The 22,044-nt window shown below is 40.5% G+C and overlaps 1 protein-coding gene and 1 pseudogene across 6 annotated transcripts in view, besides 4 other annotated features; one reads left to right on the top strand and one right to left on the bottom strand.

The window, feature by feature from the left end:
• The window catches only part of FAM149A (family with sequence similarity 149 member A), a 70,634-nt gene extending 62,175 nt beyond the window's left edge, over nt 1-8,459 (top strand). For 2 of the 6 annotated variants that reach the window (NM_001395294.1, NM_001367768.3), the window contains exons 12-14: nt 90-218; nt 306-384; nt 5,036-8,459. In NM_001395294.1, the coding sequence (NP_001382223.1) occupies nt 90-218; nt 306-384; nt 5,036-5,109 (282 nt within the window). In that variant the 3' untranslated portion in view covers nt 5,110-8,459. Of the gene's footprint in view, nt 1-89; nt 219-302; nt 385-5,035 lie in introns of all 6 variants that reach the window. The other 4 variants (NM_001350178.1, NM_001350179.1, NM_001006655.3 and 1 more) reach the window with 3 other exon arrangements.
• Nucleotides 3,231-3,732: an enhancer, noted in NCBI's record as "H3K4me1 hESC enhancer chr4:187091263-187091764 (GRCh37/hg19 assembly coordinates)". NCBI's record gives its function as "activates a minimal SCP1, AML or CMV promoter by ChIP-STARR-seq in primed H9 embryonic stem cells {active_cell/tissue: H9 hESC(primed)}" and the evidence as "EXISTENCE:reporter gene assay evidence [ECO:0000049][PMID:30033119]".
• Nucleotides 3,231-4,509: a biological region, named in NCBI's record as "MED14-independent group 3 enhancer GRCh37_chr4:187091342-187092541".
• Nucleotides 3,310-4,509: an enhancer, noted in NCBI's record as "MED14-independent group 3 enhancer chr4:187091342-187092541 (GRCh37/hg19 assembly coordinates)". NCBI's record gives its function as "activates an origin of replication core promoter dependent on BRD2, BRD4, P300/CBP and CDK7 cofactors, and independent of MED14, by STARR-seq in HCT116 cells {active_cell/tissue: HCT116}" and the evidence as "EXISTENCE:reporter gene assay evidence [ECO:0000049][PMID:35650434]".
• Nucleotides 3,733-4,232: an enhancer, noted in NCBI's record as "H3K4me1 hESC enhancer chr4:187091765-187092264 (GRCh37/hg19 assembly coordinates)". NCBI's record gives its function as "activates a minimal SCP1, AML or CMV promoter by ChIP-STARR-seq in primed H9 embryonic stem cells {active_cell/tissue: H9 hESC(primed)}" and the evidence as "EXISTENCE:reporter gene assay evidence [ECO:0000049][PMID:30033119]".
• LTO1P1 (LTO1 pseudogene 1) lies at nt 3,985-4,379 on the bottom strand (annotated as a pseudogene).

The following is a 22,044-nucleotide window of genomic DNA, read 5'->3' on the forward strand; positions in this document are numbered from 1 at the left end:
TGAGTGAACGATTGAGCATGTCGAGATTTTCTTTTGTGTTTTTAAGGATTGCATTTATTTTAAACAAGAACATACTATCCTTCATTTAGTACAGAGGAAGGCATCTACAAAACCGTGTGTTGAGTGCCATGCCTGACGGTACAGAACGATCGCGTCTTCGAGAAAGAACAGCCACCCTGGAACGGTTGTCAAGGCCCAGCACAACCCACACGTTCCGGGTGGGTTCTCTGTTTCCTGTAACTTTAATTTTGAAAAACATTTGAAAAAAATGAAACTTGTCCCTGATTTTATTTTTCTTCCAGCAGTCGGATACGCCTCGAAAAAGTTCATTGACACAAATGGAATTTGCTGCTCACACATGGACAGGTCAAAGTATTTTGACAGGTCAGCTTTTCTCCATATGTAAATAAAGTGATGTAGTAAGTGAGATTTCAAGTTTCAGACAGTGAAATGGAAGATGATCTACCTTGATAAGCCTATTTTGCTGTAGGAGGGAATAGCAAATGTTTGGGGCCTGTGGCCTGACCTCAGAAACCTCGATCACAGAGCACACCTGCAGAGACTTACTTACCTGCTGTGAGGTCAAGAAGAGGGGAATGTCCAAAAGCTCTCAATGAACTGGGGGCCTCACTCAAAAAAAAAAAAAAAAAAAAATGCTGTCTTAGGAGCAGTGAGTACCTCTGTCTGCTATAGCGTTTTCATGCTCTATTTCTAAGTGAAACTCTACTCTCAGATTCTCTTTGAAAATCTGATGATAAAAATGCTTGAGAAAATTAACACAGATTTGCTAATTACTTTATAACACAAGGTTTTACAGATAAATAGGTATTCTCAGCCTGGTATGCTGTTTGCAGGATATTCTAGTTTGAATACGGGCCAGTGATGTTTCCAGTTCCAGAACAGTCTCCAACACTGTTTTCAAGGCGTTAGTGTGGCCTCTGGAGTCTGACGTTGGATTTCCACCCTCGCTCTGCCACCGGCTGTGCAACCCTAGGAATGTCCCAACCTCTCTGGCCCTCAGCTTCCTCTTTTATAACAAGCAGGGTACATAAAATCATTATTGGAAAACTGTGAAAAGGATCTAGCTAGATACCAGGCATGTATTGCTCAGAAATGATGAATTATGAACCATTTGTATTATAAATAACCTGAAATTTCAGGGATAATTTATTGTTTTACAGGGAATTTTAAACATATAATTCTAAAAATAAATTTCGTAACATGTAAGCATTGCGTAGCACAGATCTGTCGCTGTCCACATCAGCCCTCCTGTCGTCCTGTAGCATAGTGATGTAGCATAGTGATGTCGAGATTCTTCAGCTCTGTAAAGTTCTGCTCCTGCGCTAGTCGCTCTGGGCTGCTGGGCCTTTTTGTTGCTTTTCTTGTATGTTCCTTAGCAGCATTAGCGGTCATTCACATGTCAACAGCTCGTTCTCTAAAAAGCAGCCATGCTACATGGTCAGGTGTTGCTTTTATTTATTTATTTATTTATTTTGAGATGAAGTCTCACTGCGACGCCCAGGCTGGAGTGCAGTGGTGCAATCTCAGCTCACCGCAACCTCCACCTCCCAGGTTCAAGCGATTCTGCTGCCACAGCCCCCCAAGTAGCTGGGATTACAGGCACATGCCACGATGCCTGGCTAATGTTTGTATTTTTAGTGGAGATGAGGTTTCACCATATTGGCCAGGCTGGTCTCAAGCTCCTGACCTCAGGTAATCCACCCATCTTGGCCTCCCAAAGTGCTGGGATTACAGGCATGAGCCACTGCGCCCAGCCCAGGTGTTGCTTGTAACACGATTGTAGGTGCTTGGGGGGAAGTAGGCGCCCAAGTTAGCTTATCAATCATGGATGGGTGTATCAAGTGCTCACTCTGTGCCAAGGTCTATGCCAAAGGCTGGGATTCAAACAGCAGGGGTGTTTCCGTCTGTGCCTCAAGGAGCATTGAGCCTGGCAGGCAAGCTGGAAAAGGCTGTGAGAGGGGTGAGCAGCACCACCTGGATCCCCTGTCAGATGGCTGGAGGGTGCCGAGGCTTCCTAGAGGAGATGACCATCACAAGGGATGTGAGAGAGAGGGAGTGAGGGCTGACAGATGACTCTCTGGATGGCCAGCGGCGGGTGGTGCTGAGCGAGGGAACTGGGGAAATTCTGACGAGTTCACTTTTGGGGATGCTGACTACAGCACGCCGAGTGGAGGTATCTGGGAAGTAGTTGGAGCACACGTAAGTAGAGGTTTGGAGTGGGAATTGGGTTCTGAATTTGTTCTAAATCTCACTGTTAATCATTGACCAAATGCCAAGTCAGTGTATTCTCTTATCAGTAACTTTTTTTCCTTTAAAATATGCTAGTCATTGTTTCTACAATTATAAAAAATAATACATTATCGAAACAGACAACTTACAAAACACAAAAATCCACCAAGGACAACACAGCCAAGGCCCCTGATCTCACGACGTAGAGAGAACGCGGCTCAAAGGCGTGACCTGTGATGTTGGTGCAATGAGGCGCGTGCCCCATGCAGACGTCCCCAGGCCCCAGGTGAGGCACATGTGGCCTCACACACGGATTTGAGCTTGGGAGCGGGAGGCCTAAGTCTTATCCCTCAAAAGTCTTGTCCCTCAAAAATGGAAAGCTCTTTCTTTCCTCCTGAGCACTCTGTCAACGTCAGCCCACCACGCTGCTCACACAGGGAGTCGCCTCTCTGGCCACCAGCTCAGGCAGCACACCACGATCTAATAGGACATTCAGGAATGAATTAAAAACCAGAGTGGATTCATGGTGACACCTTCGGCATATCACTCACTGCTTTCTGGAAGAGGAGGTGGGGGTAGAGCTGGTATCGGGGGACTGCAGTGACCCCCACTGGGGGCGTCCAGAGGAGTTACATTAACACGTGCAATCACATATGGCCACTTAACTCATGTAGGACCCAGGGAACGGTCCATGCCAGTCATCTGCGCCTCACTGCCTCTTAACTACTGACCCAAGACAAAAGAGCTATTAGAAGAGAGAATGCAGCCAACCAAATGCACAGCTCCAAGAGGTTTTGCATCTGTAACAACAAGCTAACATTTAGTTCTTTGGTTCAAAATATTTCCCCTCCTTAACCATTTTTTTAATGCTTCAAAGTTCATCCCCATTTGGGGAGTGGGAAGGGTATGTCCAGGCCCCCTCAGGATCAGGCTGGCTTTTCTTCCTTTCCACCAGGTGCACAGGCAAAACTGGCCACAGGGGACTCCCTGGAGCTCCATGCAGCTCGGCAGGGCCTGTGCAGTCCGGAAGGGAGGGCAGAGATGCCCAGGGCTGTAGGTGCCGGCCTGTGCAATCCGGAGGAGGCCATGCCTGGTGGTCGTGAGAGACACGGGCCTTGGCACGGAAGTCCTAGCTCTGCTGCTGGGTGCTGTGACACCAGGCATTCCCTGTGGGTCTCAGCTTCCATACCTGTAAAATGGGAATAACACCTCACTTAAGGACTCCTGAAATAAAACACGGAGCAGATAACGCAGTGCCTGGTGCATAACAAGCCTCAACATATCCAAGGACTCATCCTGATCACCCATGAGCCTACTTAAGGTCAACCCTGCCTCATTTAAAAAACAAAACAAGACTGTGCCTTCAAGTTCAGGTAGGGGTGGCCCTGTCCGGGGCCAACCCCCGCCTAGAACCAGCCAGGCTTGTGCTGCTGGAGAGGAATGGCCAAGCCAAGGCACTCGGGACCAGCACTGAGCAGCCTGGTGAGCTCTAAGCCCGCAGAGCAGGCAGGGCCCCCGACAGGCAGGTGGTGTGCAGGGGTCCCTGGGGCACCAAGGGACAGGAAACCTCAGGAGAAGGAGGCCCTTTCACCCGCCAAAGTGGAACCTTCCCCACTGAACACCGGATCTCCCAGCACTGTCTGACCTTCAGTCACATTTTAAACACTGAACAGAGGGACAGAGGGACCTGTGTTCCTTGATGTTTCATCTTTGTTCATCCATCGGTCGTCCTCCAAACCAAAGTCCAGAAGCTTCTGCACTAATTTCGAAGTCAGGCTGAACCTTGAGTCATGAACAAAACTCTTTCAATTTTCCTCTAAGTCTTCATGGAGCTCATCATAAGCAGGATCCTCATAAAGGAATTTCTGAATCATTCCAATCAGTGATTCTAAGAACCACATCTTTCTGCGGTCCTTCTGAGTGGCCCAGCTGTGCAAGAGACATCCCCATGCAAAAGCAAAGCCTTGATAGCACCTGATCTCAGGCCGGATGTTGGCTCCGTGCACCCTGCGGTGCTGCCTTCCTTCAGTGACGCCCACGCTCCTGCCTTCCTCCCAGCCTTCCTGATGCCCTTCCCCATGTAACCCCGCATCCGCCTTCATGATGGCATCCAACACGGCCCGGCTCCCAGGGTCAGGCCCAGACGCACCGCTTCAGAGGATGAGCTCTTATCAGGAACTCTGAGACAGCTACTATTGATGGTCAGAGGTCTTTTCTATATCTGCAGAAGTGATCGAGGGTCCATAAGAGGGATCTTCCTGTCTTTCTGAGGGTTTGTTTTCTTTTTCTCTGACAAGCAGGCACATGACCTCCTTGCTACCTTTGCGTCCAGGTCAAAAAGCACTGGGAACTACTAACTTATCAACTTTTATTATTTCTGTGATAGAAAAAAAAAGGAGCCAAAGGGGTATTCCAGGTAGTGGGAAGGATCCCTTAAAGTACCTGGCATTGCACCTGCCCCTGGGAAGCAGGAGAGCTGCCAGGAAGTAGTGCTCCCTCAGCCTCCTGGGCCAGGACCCGCCTCTGCATGGAAGCTTCTCGTGAATCCACCAGCTCGGGAGGACGCGTGGCCTGCACCTCCGCTTGATTTTGGGGGAGCACACTTCCTTTTCCTTAGGACCCTAATAGGCAGTTTTTGCATATGACTATTTCCTAATTTATACAAAAGTGTATTAAAATAAAATATATATTTTAAAGTATTTGCATGGAGTGTACAAAACAATCGTTCTGAGTGGGTGCCTTTGTAACATTTTAATGAGAATTACCTTTTGCTTGGTGTTTCCAGGTTCACAATATGTGCCTAAATCTTTTCAGAGGACAACTTTGACTTTCAAGAGGAGATTCCAAGTGACATCTTGAAACCACCTCACCAGAACCATTGGAGCACCTGTGGCCTCGGCACACTGCTTATCACTTGAAAAATGGAGGAACAAGTGTTATATTTATCTGTGTGTCTGACAGTGTGAGATGTTAGACCGAGAGAAAAGCAAACAAATAAATCACTTAATCTTGAACACTTTGCACTGTAAAGAGAGTGAAAGTCAAACCCACCAAGCTGCCTTGCTGAAAGCATCTCCAAGGTTCTGTAGGCTTTGTTCAGAAGCCCCTGATGTGTGTTTGCAGTCCGTCATTTTATCAATGATACGCAAACATAATTAGCATGTGTATGTACTCACACACTAATTACATGTAAGAATATATTATCTAGGAATATGTCATTTGTAACTTTGTACTCTGACGTATTTTCTAGTCTCACCCTATTAGTAATTCTGTCAAAATCCTAGACGCTAGTAGATATTAGTATTTGAGACAATATGTCAGAGTCTGAATAAGACTCAGCTTGTTCTAGTCATGCTGAGTTTCTCATATATTTTTTAAAAGTGCTTCCGCCATGAACCTCTTTGAGAAATGTCAGTGGCAAAATCTCCCAAGCTAATTTTCTTTTTCTATGTTCCATCTTCAAATTCAGACAGTTCACGTGAAGTACCCCACATTTATTGATCTTAGGGTTGAATATAAACGCAATTAAAAGCTATGGCAGGTGATGTCATCTTTATTGTTTACAGTCGAAGCTCCTCCATGGGAGGGGAGCCTCCCACCCTCCACGTGCCATCAGGAGCTGGCCTTTGCCCAGACGCCACCACTGCAATGACACCTTCCCAGAGCCCTCGTCTCCTCGCGCTCTGTCCTGCTCTGCCTGGCTTTTCTTCAGAGTGTGTTTCCCCATCTGACATTACTGTAGAAAATGGAGCAGAGAACAGGAAGGGGAATTAGCAGAGATGAGGCTCCAGGCATGTCTTCCTCTTGTCCCTCTCCCCACTGTTTCTCTTGATTGTGATTCAAGTCCTTACACTCATTTTTACATTCTCAAATCTCAAATCAGCTAATTTCCTCTTTTCTATCAGATAATTGCATTTCATCAGTCTAATTTTTACTAATCCAAACTGTAACTTTATAAGGCTATATATATGAGCATATTTATAAACTTAGATTTATAAACTATATACACACATATATGTATCATATAAATGCATAATAAATTACTTTCAGACTATTTCTGGCTGTAAGGAGAAGGGATCATTGCCTACTAGTAGATGTCTGAAATTTTAAAAGATGTGTTGAGACTAACATTAATGTTGTCCTTTATCACAGGGTGACAAAAATGACCCAGAGCCTTGCCTCTGTTTGAAAATTTCTCCTTGACTTTGCTGACTCCATTTCTTTTTTCTTTTCTTTTTTTTTGAAACGGAGTCTGGCTCTGTGGCCCCGGCTGGAGTGCAGTGGCACGATCTCGGCTCACTACAACCTCCACCTCCTGGGCTCAAGCGATTCTCCTGCTTCAGCCTCCTGGGTAGCTAGGATTACAGGTGCATGCCACCACACCCAGCTAAATTTTTTTTGTATTTTTAGTAGAGGCAGGGTTTCACCATGTTAGCCAGGCCGGTGTTGAACTCCTGACCTCAGGTGATCTGCCCACCTCGGCCTCCCAAAGTGCTGGGATTATAGGCGTGAGCTTCCGCGCCTGGCCAGCTGACTCCATTTCTATAGCAATGAGACACATTAGGCAGCAGCAGCAGCAGCAGCAGCAGCGACCACCAGGTCCATGCCTCTTTTCCGTGGTCACAGCTCCATGTGTCCGGGGAAGATTGCTAATGCTTAGTTTCCTGCACAAAGCAAACCAAAGCATTTTTGAGAATTTTCTACATTATTCCTAAACATTAGCAATAGAAACTTTTAAGAGCAAATGCCAGTCTTAATTCAGCAGCTCTCCCACTTGAGGAATAGTTAGATATGTGAGTAGCCTGGAGCCCATGTTATAGGGCTGCTGGTTAGGTGCTCTCTGGTGCATCATTACTGCTCAAAGCATGACCCACTTGCTCTTTCAGATCCACTCAGGGTATTTTATGTCCATTTCCAGGAACCATCCAACTCCTTCCCTATTCAGTCCAAACTTCCTTTTTTTTTTTTTTTACTTGAAGTTCAGGGGTACATGTGCAGGTTGTTACATAGGTAAACTTGTGTCGTGGGAGTTTGTTGTACAGATTATCACCCAGGTATTAAGCCTAGTATCCATTAGTTATTTTTCCTGATCCTCTCCCTCCTTCCACCCTCCACCCTTTGATAGGCCCTAGTGTGTGCTGTTCCCCTCTGTGTCCATGTGTTCTCATCATTTAGCTCCCACTTAGAAGTGAGAACGGATGGCATTTGTTTTTCTGTTTCTGCATTAGTTTGCTAAGGATAATGACTTCCAGCTCCAGCCATGCCTCTGCAAAGGACATAATCTCATTCTTTTTTATGAGCTCAAGCTTCGTAGTAGGGAAAACACCGGATATTCAGTCTAAACTAACATTAAGGTAGGGTATCCAAGATAAAATGTTTTTTCTTTGAAAACCACTGAATATACTTTATGGTAGCTTTACCTTGTTTGGCTCCAGAGGTTTGCAAATAAGAATCTATTATTTATATATATATATTGGTAAAAGACAAAATATTTTTTAAAAAGTGATCTTGAGTCTTCTAAACATTAAATTGGAAGATAAAGTGCCATTTTAGAGATTACATAGAGACTTGGCCCTGTCATTGATTTTAAAAATGACCTTCTCATTGCACTGATTTTTACTCCATGTTAAAGTTAGTATTTTATTTATACATTAAATTAGATTTAGAGATTAGTAAATAATGCTTATATCAAGGATGGTGCTTTTTAAGCTAATTAGGTAAAAATTAGGGCAGTGTTTTATAATCTACTTTAATAAATGAGTCTTACCTTAGAATTAATCTATTAAAAATTAAAAAAGAAAAATTGAACTACTTCTGAGATAGATTTTTAAATTCAGATTAGTGAATTTTACACTAATTGAATTACATTAATTAAAATGCCTGTTAGTTTATCCAAAACCAAAGAAAGAATGAAGAAATTTTAAAACAATCTAAGAAAATGTAAAATACCATAGAAAACTGCTAGATTTTGTGAATTTAATATAAAAGGAAGTATCCATATTGATATTATTCTGAACTAGATGGAATTTCTACACCAATTCAGAAGTACGTTTTTATATATCATTTGGATATTATATTTTTTATTGTTTTATTATAACTACAGATCATTGTGTAGGATTTTTGATTCCTTAATTTCTAATAAAATATAAAAGTGTTAAAAGAGTTTTCAAAAATGTGTAACATTTATAAAAGTATTTTTAGATTCCCAATTTTTGTATCATTTGTGCAAATATCTCTCTATTCTGCAGTTTCTAATACATAGGTATTTATTATTTCTAACTACATAGTAAACTTTCCCCAGTAAATTCTAAGTATATGTCCATATATATTTGCAAAGGCTTTACATAATTTATGAATACTCCGTTGTAATGTTTGTTTCAGAAGATTATGCTCCTGTGTGGTAATCATCATGGATTTGATTTCATCAAACATTTATTAAGCACTTTCTTGGTGTAAGATTTTGTTCTAAGCATTATAGTGAACAAGACAGTCTTTGGCCTAAAAGAACTTAGATTGTAGTGGAGGCGACAGACTATAAACAATTAAATAAAAACATGATACAGGTCAGTTAGCAATAAGTGCTATGAAGAAACAAAGCGAGGCAAGGTGACGGAGTGGAAGGAGCTGCAACTTTCCATCGAGCGGCTGGGGAAGGCTGTGTTGCAGAGGTGATATTTGAGCAAACCCCAAAGAAGATGAGAAAAGAAGCCTGGGAGATATCTGGGGAGAAAGAACTGTAGACAGAGCAGAAAGCATGTGCCTAAACAAGAGTCCACCTGGAATGTCTGAAGAACAGCAGAGAGGCCAGTTCATGGGATGCGCTTGGCAAGGGAGTGAATAATGGGAGCTCAGTGAGCTAACAGGAGCTGAGGGACTGAGGTCCCTTTTGGACTATGGGAAATATGAAATAAGAAGCCACTGGAGCAGTTGAGTTTTGGGGATAGAATGATATAATCGACAAGAGATGATCCTGTTTCAGTCAGATGATAGTGGTAAGGCTGATGAGAATCCCAGGACTTTGCATGTGTTTTGAAATTTGAGCCAAAAGATGTGCTGTTGGATGAGAGGTGGAGTGTGTCTACCAAAAGAATCGAGAATGCCTCCAGGCTTTTGGCTTCACACTTGGAAGGATGGTGTTGACACTCACTGAAATTGGAAAGACTGCAAGGGGAACACGTTTGGCAGCATGAGGGGCAAGTTATGTGTGAGATGCCAATTAGATGCCTAAGTGGAGATATTGAGATATTTGGATATCCACACTTGGGTGTGGAGGTGAGGTATAGACTGGATGTATAAATTTGGGGATTGTCAGCACGTAGATGGTATTTAAGAACTGAAATGGATGAGGCAACCAAGAAAATGAGTGTAGAGAAATGGAGGAAAAAGAAGTACTGAGCCTTGTGCCTTTTAACATCTAAAGGCCTGGGATGTGAAGGAAAACCAGCAAAGCAGACTGAGAAAGAATGGCTGGTGAAGGGAAATAAGAGTCAGGAGAATGTGGCGTCCTCAAAGTATGTGTGTGTTTGTGCGGGGGAAGTGTTTCAAGGAAGTGATAGGGACTCAAGTATGTTGAATGCTGTTGATGAGTCAATTACGATGAGGTCTGAGAATCAGACTAAAGGTCTAGCCACATGGAAGTTACTGGTGGCCTTGACAAGATCTGCTAGGTGAATGGACAAGGCGAAAGTAGGCTTGCAGTGGGTTTGGGAGAAAAGAAGAAGAGAGAAATCCAAGACAGTAGTCATGGGCAAGTCTTCCAGGGAATTTTTCTGTACAGGGGAGTAGAGTATGTGTGTGTGTGTGTGTGTGTGTGTGTGTGTGTGCATGCACGTGTGTTTCCTAGTAAGGTTCATCTTGATGAATGTCATTATTCAGTATAAAAATGTTGATCCAAAAAGGAAGATAGCTCTAGTGTTCTCTGGAGGACATGCAGAGTGTATTCCCACTGGAAAATTAAAGAAAAAGCTGACAGAGCTGAGTGAATAGTAAGTTATAACTCAGAAGCAACATTCAGAGAAGGCTACACCTTGTGAAGGATGTCTTCAGAGTTCACAAAAAGAACATTGTGGGGGTGAAAGTTTTAGCTTAGAAGGCAAAAGATTTCAAAAATATACAGAATCAAAATGATGTTAAAAATAAACATGGAGGCATTCCACTACTGTTTATGAAAGAATAGTTCATGAGCAAACTGACCTACTGAGAACAACTATAAAAGCTATAAATGGACAAGAAACAGCTCTTTGGAGGCACGCGTGGACACCCACATCCACACCCACCCAGCCCCCCAAGACAAAGCAGCACAACTTCAGGAAACAAATTGGGAGACAACAGGAATAATACATTGAGATGAACCCCATATTTGCTACTGTTTTCTTTCCCTGTATCAATATATTTTAGATTAGTAATGGGGCATAGAGGCCAAGAAAAAGGGATACCCTCAAAATTTGTGACAAGCTCACTAGGCTGCCAAAAGGAATGATGTTGGGAAATGTCTCAGACTTTGAATTGATAATCTTGAAGGACTACACTCTAGGAGTAAGGGCAAGCTTAATACAGACAAGTCCTCAAAACACTAGAAGCAGAACCTAGAATCAATGAAACCTCTGTTTAGATCCAGGTTATATGCCTGTACTTTATATGACCACCAGAAAAAGTATCCTCTTTAAAGAAATATAGCATCACCTAGAATTTCTATTATTTTTATATACAATGTACAGCATTCAATCTAAAATTAAGAGACAGCCCAGGATATAGGGCCAAGTGACTGAAAGCCAAGAGAGAAAACAAAATTATAATGGACCCACACGTGATTAAAATAGTAGCACTATCAGGTACAAGCTAAGAAACAATTTGATTTGCACATTCAAAAATATATTGAAAAACAATTTCAAGAGAGAACTGTAATCTGAAAAATAATCAAACTGATATCCTAGAAATGAATAATACAATGACTCAATAATTCACTAGCTGTGTTGAACTGCAGATTACACATAGCAGACAAGAGGCTTAGTAAACTGGAAGGCAGGTCAATACACAGTATTCACTTTGAACAAGCATAAAAAATAGATATTCCTTAAAAATTGTGAGGCCATGTGAAAAAATCTCATATCCGTGTAATGATAGTCATAGAGGAGAAAGAGAATAGAACAATGCAGTATTGAACAGATACCATGAAAGAATCTTCCAAAAATAGATAGAAGACATCGATGCAGTCATTTAAGAAGCTATAAGAAACACAAGATAGAAAGCAAAACATACTCAGGTCCATCACAAACTGCTAGAAACCCCAAATCAAAAAGAACCAAACAGCAGTCAGAGGGAGGGGGGAAAGACTCATTATCTTCAAAGAAGCAACAATAAGACTAATATTTGACTTTTCAACACAAGTGATGGAAGCTGAAAGACAATATAAAAAGCATCTTTAAAGTGCTGAAAAAAATAATTGCCAACCCAGAATTTTATACGTAGTAAACATATACCTCAAAAATGAGGGCAAAAGAGCAGTATTTTCAGATAAACCAAAATTGGGAATTTATCACCGGCAAATCTGTACTAAAGGAAATACAAACGAGAGCTCTTCACAGAGTAGGAAAATTATCCCAGAAGGAAGTACAATGATAAAAGAAGAAGTAATAAAGATCAGAATGTATACATACGTGGGAAAATAGAAAAGAATACTTACTGTATAAAATAATGAGTAATACAGAATTCAGTATATATTTGGGATTAAAATATTATAGAAATAGCTTAAAATTGGGAAGGGTTTATTTGCTGTTAAAGTGTTATAGATTCATCATTGTCCAGGATTACTGTTCTAAGGTAGAGTTTTATAAAGCAGTGCGTGTGATATAGCGAGATGAAGGCACAAAATACTATCAGGAATGAAAATAGGCATACCACTGCTGATTCTATAGATGTGAAAAAAGATAAGCATTATACTATGAATAACTTGATTTGGTAATTTAGATGAAAATTAAAACTTTGAAAAAATCACATCACTCAAGAAGAAATAGAAAATTTGAAAAGGGTTATGTCTATTATAAGACTTAAATGTATTATTAAAAGCCTTCTCACAAAGACAACTCCAAGTCCTGCTGACTTCATTGGTTAATCCTTCCAAATATTTAAGGAAAAACTAATACCACTAGTAGCAATATCAAAAAGCTCTTCAGGCCTGGGCATAGTGGCTCATGCCTATAATCCCAGCACTTTGGGAGGCTGAAGCAGGAGGATTGCTTGAGCCCAGAGGCTCGAGGTTACAGTGAGTTATGATCACGCCACTGCACTCCAGCCTGGGTAACAGAGTGAGACTTTGTCTCTCTAAAAAACTAACAAAAAAGTTATTCAAGATGATTGTCATTTTGTAAGGCTACCACAACCCTGATACAAAACCTAACAAGGACATTACAAAAAAAAAAAGTAAATTACAATAAAGTAACTGAGAATTATAAAAAAAAAAAAAAAAGCGAATTATAGGCCAATATCATCCCTGAACTCCCAAGCAAAATCAAATCAGTAATATATGAAATAGATAATACGTACCATCCAAATTAAATTTATTTCAGAAATGCAAGTTTGATGTACCATGTGAAAATCATTCAGTGCAACAAATGATGTAAGGAAACAAGCATGGGATCTTCTCGAAAGATGAAGAAAATGTCTTTATAAAAATTCTTAGTCAACCAGGAAGATAAGAATATCACTGTTATCTCTTCATGAGTATCTAGGGGAAAAAAACAACTGCAAACTGCATACTTAGTGGTAATTTTATTCTGATTTTACTTACTGAAGAAGCTATACTTCCTGAGATCAGATAATACGAAGTGTCAGCTACCGCCACTGTTATTCATGATACAGAATATATTTTCCACCCCAGCAGGGCAAGATTAAATTATTAAAGGGTCTTAAGATTTAGGAAGAAAGAAACAATTTGGTTTTTCACAGAAAACATGATTGTGTACATAGAAAATCCAAAATAATTACAAACACACTTAAAAATGTGATTTAACAACATCATTGAAAACAGTCAATATAAAAATTACGTGCATTTCTATATAACAACAGATAATACAATTTATAAAAATACAATATAATAGATTCAAAAATCAAATACCTAGGAATAAATTTAATAAAAATGAGTATATTAGAGTTCTTCAGAGCAACAAAATTATTAGGAGATATTAGATTATGTAATATAATGTATATCTGGAGGGAGAGAGTTTTTCTTTTTTTTGATTTGAGTGTATTTTATTTTATTTTATTTTTTATTATACTAAGTTCTAGGGTACATGTGCACAATGTGCAGGTTTGTTACATATGTATACATGTGCCATGTTGGTGTGCTGCACCCATTAATTCGTCATTTACATTAGGTATATCTCCTAATGCTATCCCTCCCCTCTCCCCACACCCTATGACAGGCCCTGGTGTGTGATGTTCCCCATCCTGTGTCCAAGTGTTCTTATTGTTCAATTCCCACCTATGAGTGAGAACATGTGGTGTTTGGGTTTCTGTCCTTGCGACAGTTTGCTCAGAATGATGGTTTCCAGCTTCATCCATGTCCCTACAAAGGACATGACCTCATCCTTTTTTATGGCTACATAGTATTCCATGGTGTATATGTGCCACATTGTCTTAATCCAGTCTATCATTGATGGACATTTGGGTTGGTTCCAAGTCTTTGCTATTGTGAATAGTGCCGCAGTAAACATACGTGTGCATGTGTCTTTATAGCAGCATGATTTATAATCCTTTGGGTATATACCCAGTAATGGGATGGCTGGGTCAAATGGTATTTCTAGTTCTAGATCCTTGAGGAATTGCCACACTGTCTTCCACAATGGTTGAACTAGTTTACAGTCCCACCAACAGTGTAAAAGTGTTCCTATTTCTCCACATCCTCTCCAGCACCTGTTGTTTCCTGACTTTTTAATGATCGCCATTCTAACTGCTGTGAGATGGTATCTCATTGTGGTTTTGATTTGCATTTCTCTGATGGCCAGTGATGATGAGCATTTTTTCATGTGTCTGTTGGCTGCATAAATGTCTTCTTTTGAGAAGTGTCTGTTCATATCCTTCGCCCACTTGTTGATGGGGTTGTTTGATTTTTTTCTTGTAAATTAGTTTAAGTTCTTTGTAGATTCTGGATATTAGCCCTTTGTCAGATGGGTAGATTGCAAAAATTTTCTCCCATTTTGTAGGTTGTCTGTTCACTCTGATGGTAGTTTCTTTTGCTGTGCAGAAGCTCTTTAGTTTAATTAGATCCCATTTGTCAATTTTGGCTTTTGTTGCCATTGCTTTTGGTGTTTTAGACATGAAGTCCTTGTCCATGCCTATGTCCTGAATGGTATTGCCAAGGTTTTCTTCTAGGGTTTTTATGGTTTTAGGTCTAACATTTAAGTCTTTAATCCATCTTGAATTAATTTTTTATAAGGTGTAAGGAAGGGATCCAGTTCCAGCCTTCTGCATATGGGCTAGCCAGTTTTCCCAGCACCATTTATTAAATAGGGAATCCTTTCCCCATTTCTTGTTTTTGTCAGGTTTGTCAAAGATCAGATGGTTGTAGATGTGTGGTATTATTTCTGAGGGCTCTGTTTTGTTCCATTGGTCTATATCTTTGTTTTGGTACCAGTACCATGCTGTTTTGGTTACTGTAGGCTTGTAGTATAGGTTGAAGTCAGGTAGCGTGATGCCTCCAGCTTTGTTCTTTTGGCTTAGGATTGACTTGGCAATGCGGGCTCTTTTTTGGTTCCATATGAACTTTAAAGTAGTTTTTTCCAATTCTGTAAAGAAAGTCATTGGTAGCTTGATGGGGATGGCATTGAATCTATAAATTACCTTGGGCAGTATGGCCATTTTCACAATATTGGTTCTTCCTATCCATGAGCATGGAATGCTCTTCCATTTGTTTGTGTCCTCTTTTATTTGGTTCAGCAGTGGTTTGTAATTCTCTTTGAAGAGGTTATTCACATCCCTTGTAAGTTGGATTCCTAGGTATTTTATTCTGTTTGTAGCAATTGTGAATGGGAGTTCACTAATGATTTGGCTCTCTGTTTGTCTGTTATTGGTGTATAGGAAAGCTTGTGATTTTTGCATATTGATTTTGTATCCTGAGACCTTGCTGAAGTTGCTTATCAGCTTAAGGAGATTTTGGGCTGAGATGATGGGTTTTCTAAATATACAGTCATGTCATCTGCAAACAGGGACAATTTGACTTCCTCTTTTCCTAATTGAATACCCTTTATTTCTTTCTCCTGCCTGATTGCCCTGGCCAGAACTTCCAACACTATGTTGAATAGGAGTGGTGAGAGAGGGCATCCCTGTCTTGTGCCAGTTTTCAAAGGGAATGCTTCCAGTTTTTGCCCATTCAGTATGATATTGGCTGTGGGCTTGTCATAAATAGTTCTTATTATTTTGAGATATGTCCCATCAATACCTAATTTATTGAGAGTTTTTAGCATGAAGGGTTGTTGAATTTTGTCAAAGGCCTTTTCTGCATCTATTGAGATAATCATGTGGTTTTTGTCTTTGGTTCTATTTATATGCTGGATTACATTTATTGATTTGCATATGTTGAACCATCCTTGCATCCCAGGGGTGAAGCCCACTTGATCATGGTGGATAAGCTTTTTGATGTGCTGCTGGATTTGGTTTGCCAGTATTTTATTGAGGATTTTTGCATCGATATTCATCAGGGATATTGGTCTAAAATTCTCTTTTTTGTATGTGTCTCTGCCAGGCTTCGGTATCAGGATGATGCTGGCCTCATAAAATGAGTTAGGGAGGATTCCCTCTTTTTCTATTGATTGGAATAGTTTCAGAAGGAACGGTACCAGCTCCTCTTTGTACCTCTGGTGGAATTCGGCTGTGAATCCATCTGGTCCTGGACTTTTTTTGGTTGGTAGGCTCTTAATTATTGCCTCGATTTCAGAGCCTGTTATTGGTCTATTCAGGGATTCAACTTCTTCCTAGCTTAGTCTTGGGAGGGTGTATGTGTCCAGGAATTTATCCATTTCTTCTAGATTTTCTAGTTTATTTGCATAGAAGTGTTTATAGTATTCTCTGAGGTAGTTTGTATTTCTGTGGGATCGGTGGTGATATCCCCTTTATCATTTTTTATTGCGTCTATTTGATTCTTCTCTGTTTTCTTCTTTATTAGTCTTGCTAGCGGTCTATCAATTTTGTTGATCTTTTCAAAAAACCACATCCTGGATTCATTGATTTTTTGAAGGGTTTTTTGTGTCTCTATCTCCTTCGGTTCTGCTCTGATCTTAGTTATTTCTTGCCTTCTGCTAGCTTTTGAATGTGTTTGCTCTTGCTTCTCTAGTTCTTTTAATTGTGATGTTAGGGTATCAATTTTAGATCTTTCCTGCTTTCTCTTGTGGGCATTTAGTGCTATAAATTTCCCTCTACACACTGCTTTAAATGTTTCCCAGAGATTCTGGTATGTTGTGTCTTTGTTCTCATCGGTTTCAGAGAACATCTTTATTTCTGCCTTCATTTCATTATGTACCCAGTAGTCATTCAAGAGCAGGCTGTTCAGTTTCCATGTAGTTGAGCGGTTTTGAGTGAGTTTCTTAATCCTGAGTTCTAGTTTGATTGCACTGTGGTCTGAGAGACAGTTCGTTATAATTTCTGTTCTTTTACATTTGCTGGGGAGTGCTTTACTTCCAACTATGTGGTCAATTTTGGAATAAGTGCGATGTGGTGCTGAGAAGGATGTATATTCTGTTGATTTATGGTGTAGAGTTCTGTAGATGTCTATTAGGTCTGTTTGGTGCAGAGCTGAGTTCAATTCCTGGATATCCTTCTTAACTTTCTGTCTCGTGGATCTGTCTAATGTTGACAGTGGGGTGTTAAAGTCTCCCATTATTATTGTGTGGGAGTCTAAGTCTCTTTATAAGTCTCTAAGGACTTGCTTTATGAATCTCAGTGCTCCTGTATTGAGTGCATATATATTTAGGATAGTTAGCTCTTCTTGTTGAATTGATCCCTTTACCATTATGTAATGGCCTTCTTTGTCTCTTCCGATCTTTGTTGGTTTAAAGTCTGTTTTATCAGAGACTAGGATTGCAACCCCTGCTTTTTTTTTTTGTTTTCCATTTGCTTGGTAGATCTTCCTCCATCCCTTTATTTTGAGCCTATATGTGTCTCTGCACGTGAGATGGGTCTCCTGAATACAGCACACTGATGGATCTTGACTCTTTATCCAGTTTGCCAGTCTGTGTCTTTTAATCGGCACATTTAGCCCATTTACATTTAAGGTTAATATTGTTATGTGTGAATTTGATCCTGTCATTATGATGTTAGCTGGTTATTTTGCTCGTTAGTTGATGCAGTTTCTTCCTAGCCTGATGGTCTTTACAATTTGGCATGTTTTTGCAGTGGCTGGTACCAGTTGTTCTTTTCCATGTTTGGTGCTTCCTTCAGGAGCTCTTGTAAGGCAGGCCTGGTGGTGACAAAATCTCTCAGCATTTGCTTGTCTGTAAAGGATTTTATTTCTCCTTCAATTATGAAGCTTAGTTTGGCTGGATATGAAATTCTGGGTTGAAAATTCTGTCCTTTAAGAATGTTGAATATTGGCCCCCACTCTCTTCTGGCTTGTAGAGTTTCTGCTGAGAGATCAGCTGTTAGTCTGATGGGCTTCCCTTTGTGGGTAACCTGACCTTTCTCTCTGGCTGCCCTGAACATTTTTTCCTTCATTTTGACTTTGGTGACTCTGACAATTATGTGTCTTGGAGTTGCTCTTCTCGAGGAGTATCTTTTTGGCGTTCTCTGTGTTTCCTGAATTTGAATGTTGGCTTGCCTTGCTAGGTTGGGGAAGTTCTCCTGGATAATATCCTGAAGAGTGTTTTCCAACTTGGTTCCATTCTCCCCATCACTTTCAGGTACACCAATCAGACATAGATTTGGTCTTTTCACATAGTCCCATATTTCTTGGAGGCTTTGTTCGTTTCTTTTTAATCTTTTTTCTCTAGACTTCTCTTCTCACTTCATTTCATTCATTTACTCTTCAATCACTGATACCTATTCTTCCAGTTGATCGAATTGGCTACTGAAGCTTGTGCATGCATTACATAGTTCTCGTGCCATGATTTTCAGCTCCATCAGGTCATTTAAGTTCTTCTCTACGCTGTTTATTCCAGTTAGCCATTCGTCTACTCTTTTTTCAAGGTTTTTAGCTTCTCTGCGATGGGTTCCAACATCCTCCTTTAGCTCCGAGAAGTTTGTCATTACCGATCGTCTGAAGCCTTCTCCTCTCAACTCATCATAGTCATTCTCCGTCCAGCTTTGTTCCATTGCTGGTGAGGAGCTGCATTCCTTTGGAGGATATGAGGCACTCTGATTTTTAGAATTTTCAGCTTTTCTGCTCTGGTTTCTCCCCATCTTTGTGGTTTTTATCTACCTTTGGTCTTTGATGATGGTGACGTACAGATGGGGTTTTGGTGTGTATGTCCTTTCTGTTTGTTAGTTTTCCTTCTAACAGTCAGGACCCTCAACTCCAGGTCTGTTGGAGTTTGCTGGAGGTCCACTCCAGACCCTGTTTGCCTGGGTATCACCAGTGGAGGCTGCAGAACCACAGATATTGCAGAATGGCAAATGTTGCTGCCTGATCATTCCTCTGGAAGCTTCCTATCAGAGGGGTGCCCAGCTGTATGAGGTGTCAGTCAGCCCCTACTGGGGGGTGCCTCCCAGTTAGGCTACTCAGGGGTCAGGGACCCACTTGAGGAGGCAGTCTGTCTGTTCTCAGATCTCAAACTCCGTGCTGGGAGAAGCACTACTCTCTTCAAAGCTCAGTTGGAAATGCAGAAATCACCCGTCTTCTGAGTCCCTCATGCTGGGAGCTGTACATTGGAGCTGTTCCTATTTGGCCATCTTGGAACCTCGATTTTCGAGAGTTATTTCTTTTAAGGGAAAAGGGAGCTGGCAAGTTTGAAATCGGTAAGGCAAGCTGGAAGGCTGGAAATTCAGGTAAGAGTTCAGTATTGAGTCTGAAATCTACAGGACAAGGCAAGTAGGCTGGAAATTGTGGTAGGGTCTCTGTGTTGCCATCTTGAGGCCAGATTCTTTATTCTTCAAAAAACCTCAGTCTTTTTTTTTTTCTTTTTTCAGACGGAGTTTTGCTCTTGTCACCCAGATTGGTGTGCAATGGTGCAATCTCAGCTCACTGCAAACTCCGCCTCCTGGGTTCAAATGATTCTCCTGCTTCAGCCTCCCAAGTAGCTAGGATTACAGGCATGTGCCACCACACTCGGCTAATTTTGCATTTTTAGTAGAGACGGGGTTTCACCATGTTGGCCAGGCTAGTCTCGAACTCCTGACCTCAGCTGATCCACCCACTTCGGCCTCCCAAAATGCTGGGATTACAGGCGTGAGCCACTGAGCCTGGCCAAAACCTCAGTCTTTATTCTTGAGGTCTTCACTAGTTGGACAAGGCCCACTCACATTCTGGAGGGCAATCTGCTTTACCCTAAGTCTACTGATTTAAACGTTAACCACTTCTTAAAAATACCTTGACAGCAATATCCAGATTGGTGTTTGACCACATAACCTGGCCCCATAACCAAATAGGCACATAAAATCCATTATAGTAGGTAAGACTTCGTCAAAGAGGTCTAGAAAACATTTCTGGGAGAAATTAACGAAGACCCAAATAAATGAAGCGATATATCATGTTCATGGATTGGAAGACTCAGTGCAAGTATTATAAAGATGTCAGTTCTCTTCAAATTGATTTTTATATTTAATTCAATCACAAAATACCATCAGGGAGTGTGTGTGTGTGTGTGTGTGTGTGTGTTGATATTATTCTAAAATTTATAGGGAAATACAAAGCACCCAAAATAGCAAGATAGTCTTGATGAATTTGAAAAACAAGTTAAATAACTTATACCAAGAAATATCAAGACTTATAAAATTATTAATTAAAATTATCTGTTATTGGCACACAAATGGACAAATAGCAGTAGAACAGAACAGATCATATGCATGTGTGCAATCCCCTGATTTATGACAAGGTGACATTCCATGCATTGATTAAAAGACGGTCTTTTCATTAAATTGTATTGAATCCATTGAATATTCATATTTTTATTTAGAAGGGTGTCAAACTCCACTACCACATACATACACAAATACATTACAGATGCAAGTTCTTGGATCTAAATTAGAAAGGGAAGATTATGAAGCTTTTAGAAGGTTAATGTAAGAGAGAATATCTGTTTTAGCTTGTGGTAGGCAAAGATTTTCTAAACAAGATGCATAAAACATTAACTATAATGAAAAAGATAAATAACTGGACTTCATTAAACTTTAAAACATTCTTATTCATTCAAATACATCAGCGATGGTTTGACTGTGTGCCCCAAAGTTCATGTGTTGGAAACTAATCCCCAATGCAACAGTGGTGAGAGGTGGGACCATTAAGAGGTGTTTAGGCCATGAGGGCTCTGCCCTCACAAATGGATTAATGCTACTATTGTGGGAGTGGGTTCCTAATTAAAGGATGAATTCAGCCCCCTTCTTCTTGCTGTCTCTCGTTTACTCTTGTGCCTTTCACCTTCTGCCATGGGATGATGCAGCAGAAGGCCCTCATCAAATGTGACTCCTCTTTCTCGGACTTCCCAGCCTCCAGAACCGTACCAGTCTGTGATATTTGGTTATAGGAGCACAAAGTGAACTATGACAACATCATTAAGAGGGTGATAAGGCAAACTACAGAGAGGAAGAAACTTGGCAATACATAGCTGGCAAAGGATTTGTATTCATATATAATTTATTATGTAATAATTGCTCATTAATTATTTATAATTCCTACAAATCACTAAAAATCCAGACAACTACAACGTTCAACACGGAAAATGATTTAATAGGTGCTCTCTGAAATAGCCAACAATCTTCTGAAATGATGCTGACTATCCTAGGTCACTAGGAAAATTCATACTAAACTTTCAACGCTCAGCCTAGGCAACATGGCGAAACCCTGTCTCTACTAAAAATACAAAAATTAGCCTGGTGTGGTGGCATGCCCCCGTAGTCCCAGCTACTCAGACGGCTGAAGCGGGAGGATTGCTTGAGCCTGGGAAGTTGAGGCTGCAGTGAGCTGAGATCATGCCACTGCACTACAGTCTGGGTGAGAGAGTGAGATCCTGTCTCACATAATAAATAAATAAATAAATAAATAAATAAATAAATACTCAATGCAGTTTTAGTACAAGACCCAACTGAATGGCTTTGCAAAAAAAAAAAAAAAAAAAAGACAATACCAAACATTGGCAAGTATATGGAGCCACTGGAACTATCAGAGATTGCTCATGAGTGTGTAAATTGGTACAAATGTGGAAAACTGGCAAGAAGTACTAAGTCTAAATGTATGCATGCCTTATGACCTAGCAATTCCATTCCTGGGCATATTTACAGGAAGGAGAAATATGTACATATGTGTATCAAAAGACATCTACAACAATGATCATACAAAATTCTTCACAACATAGGAAAACTGGAAACAACTGAAACATCCATTGGCAGTAAAATGAATAATAAATTATAATATATTCCAACAATGGAATAATAAACAGCTGTGAAAAATAAGGGAAAATATTACACATGGCAATATAGTCAATATAGATTGTCATAAATCAGGTGATTGTACACATACATATGATCTGTTTTATTGCTGTTTTCCATTTGTGTGCCAATTACATGATTTTAATTAATAATGTTATAAGTCTTGATATTTCTTGGTATAAGTTATCTAACTTGTTTTTCAAATTCATCTAAACTCAGGGTTGAGTT

This window comes from Homo sapiens, chromosome 4 (assembly GCF_000001405.40).
Source record: "Homo sapiens chromosome 4, GRCh38.p14 Primary Assembly".
Classification (NCBI taxonomy): domain Eukaryota; kingdom Metazoa; phylum Chordata; class Mammalia; order Primates; family Hominidae; genus Homo; species Homo sapiens.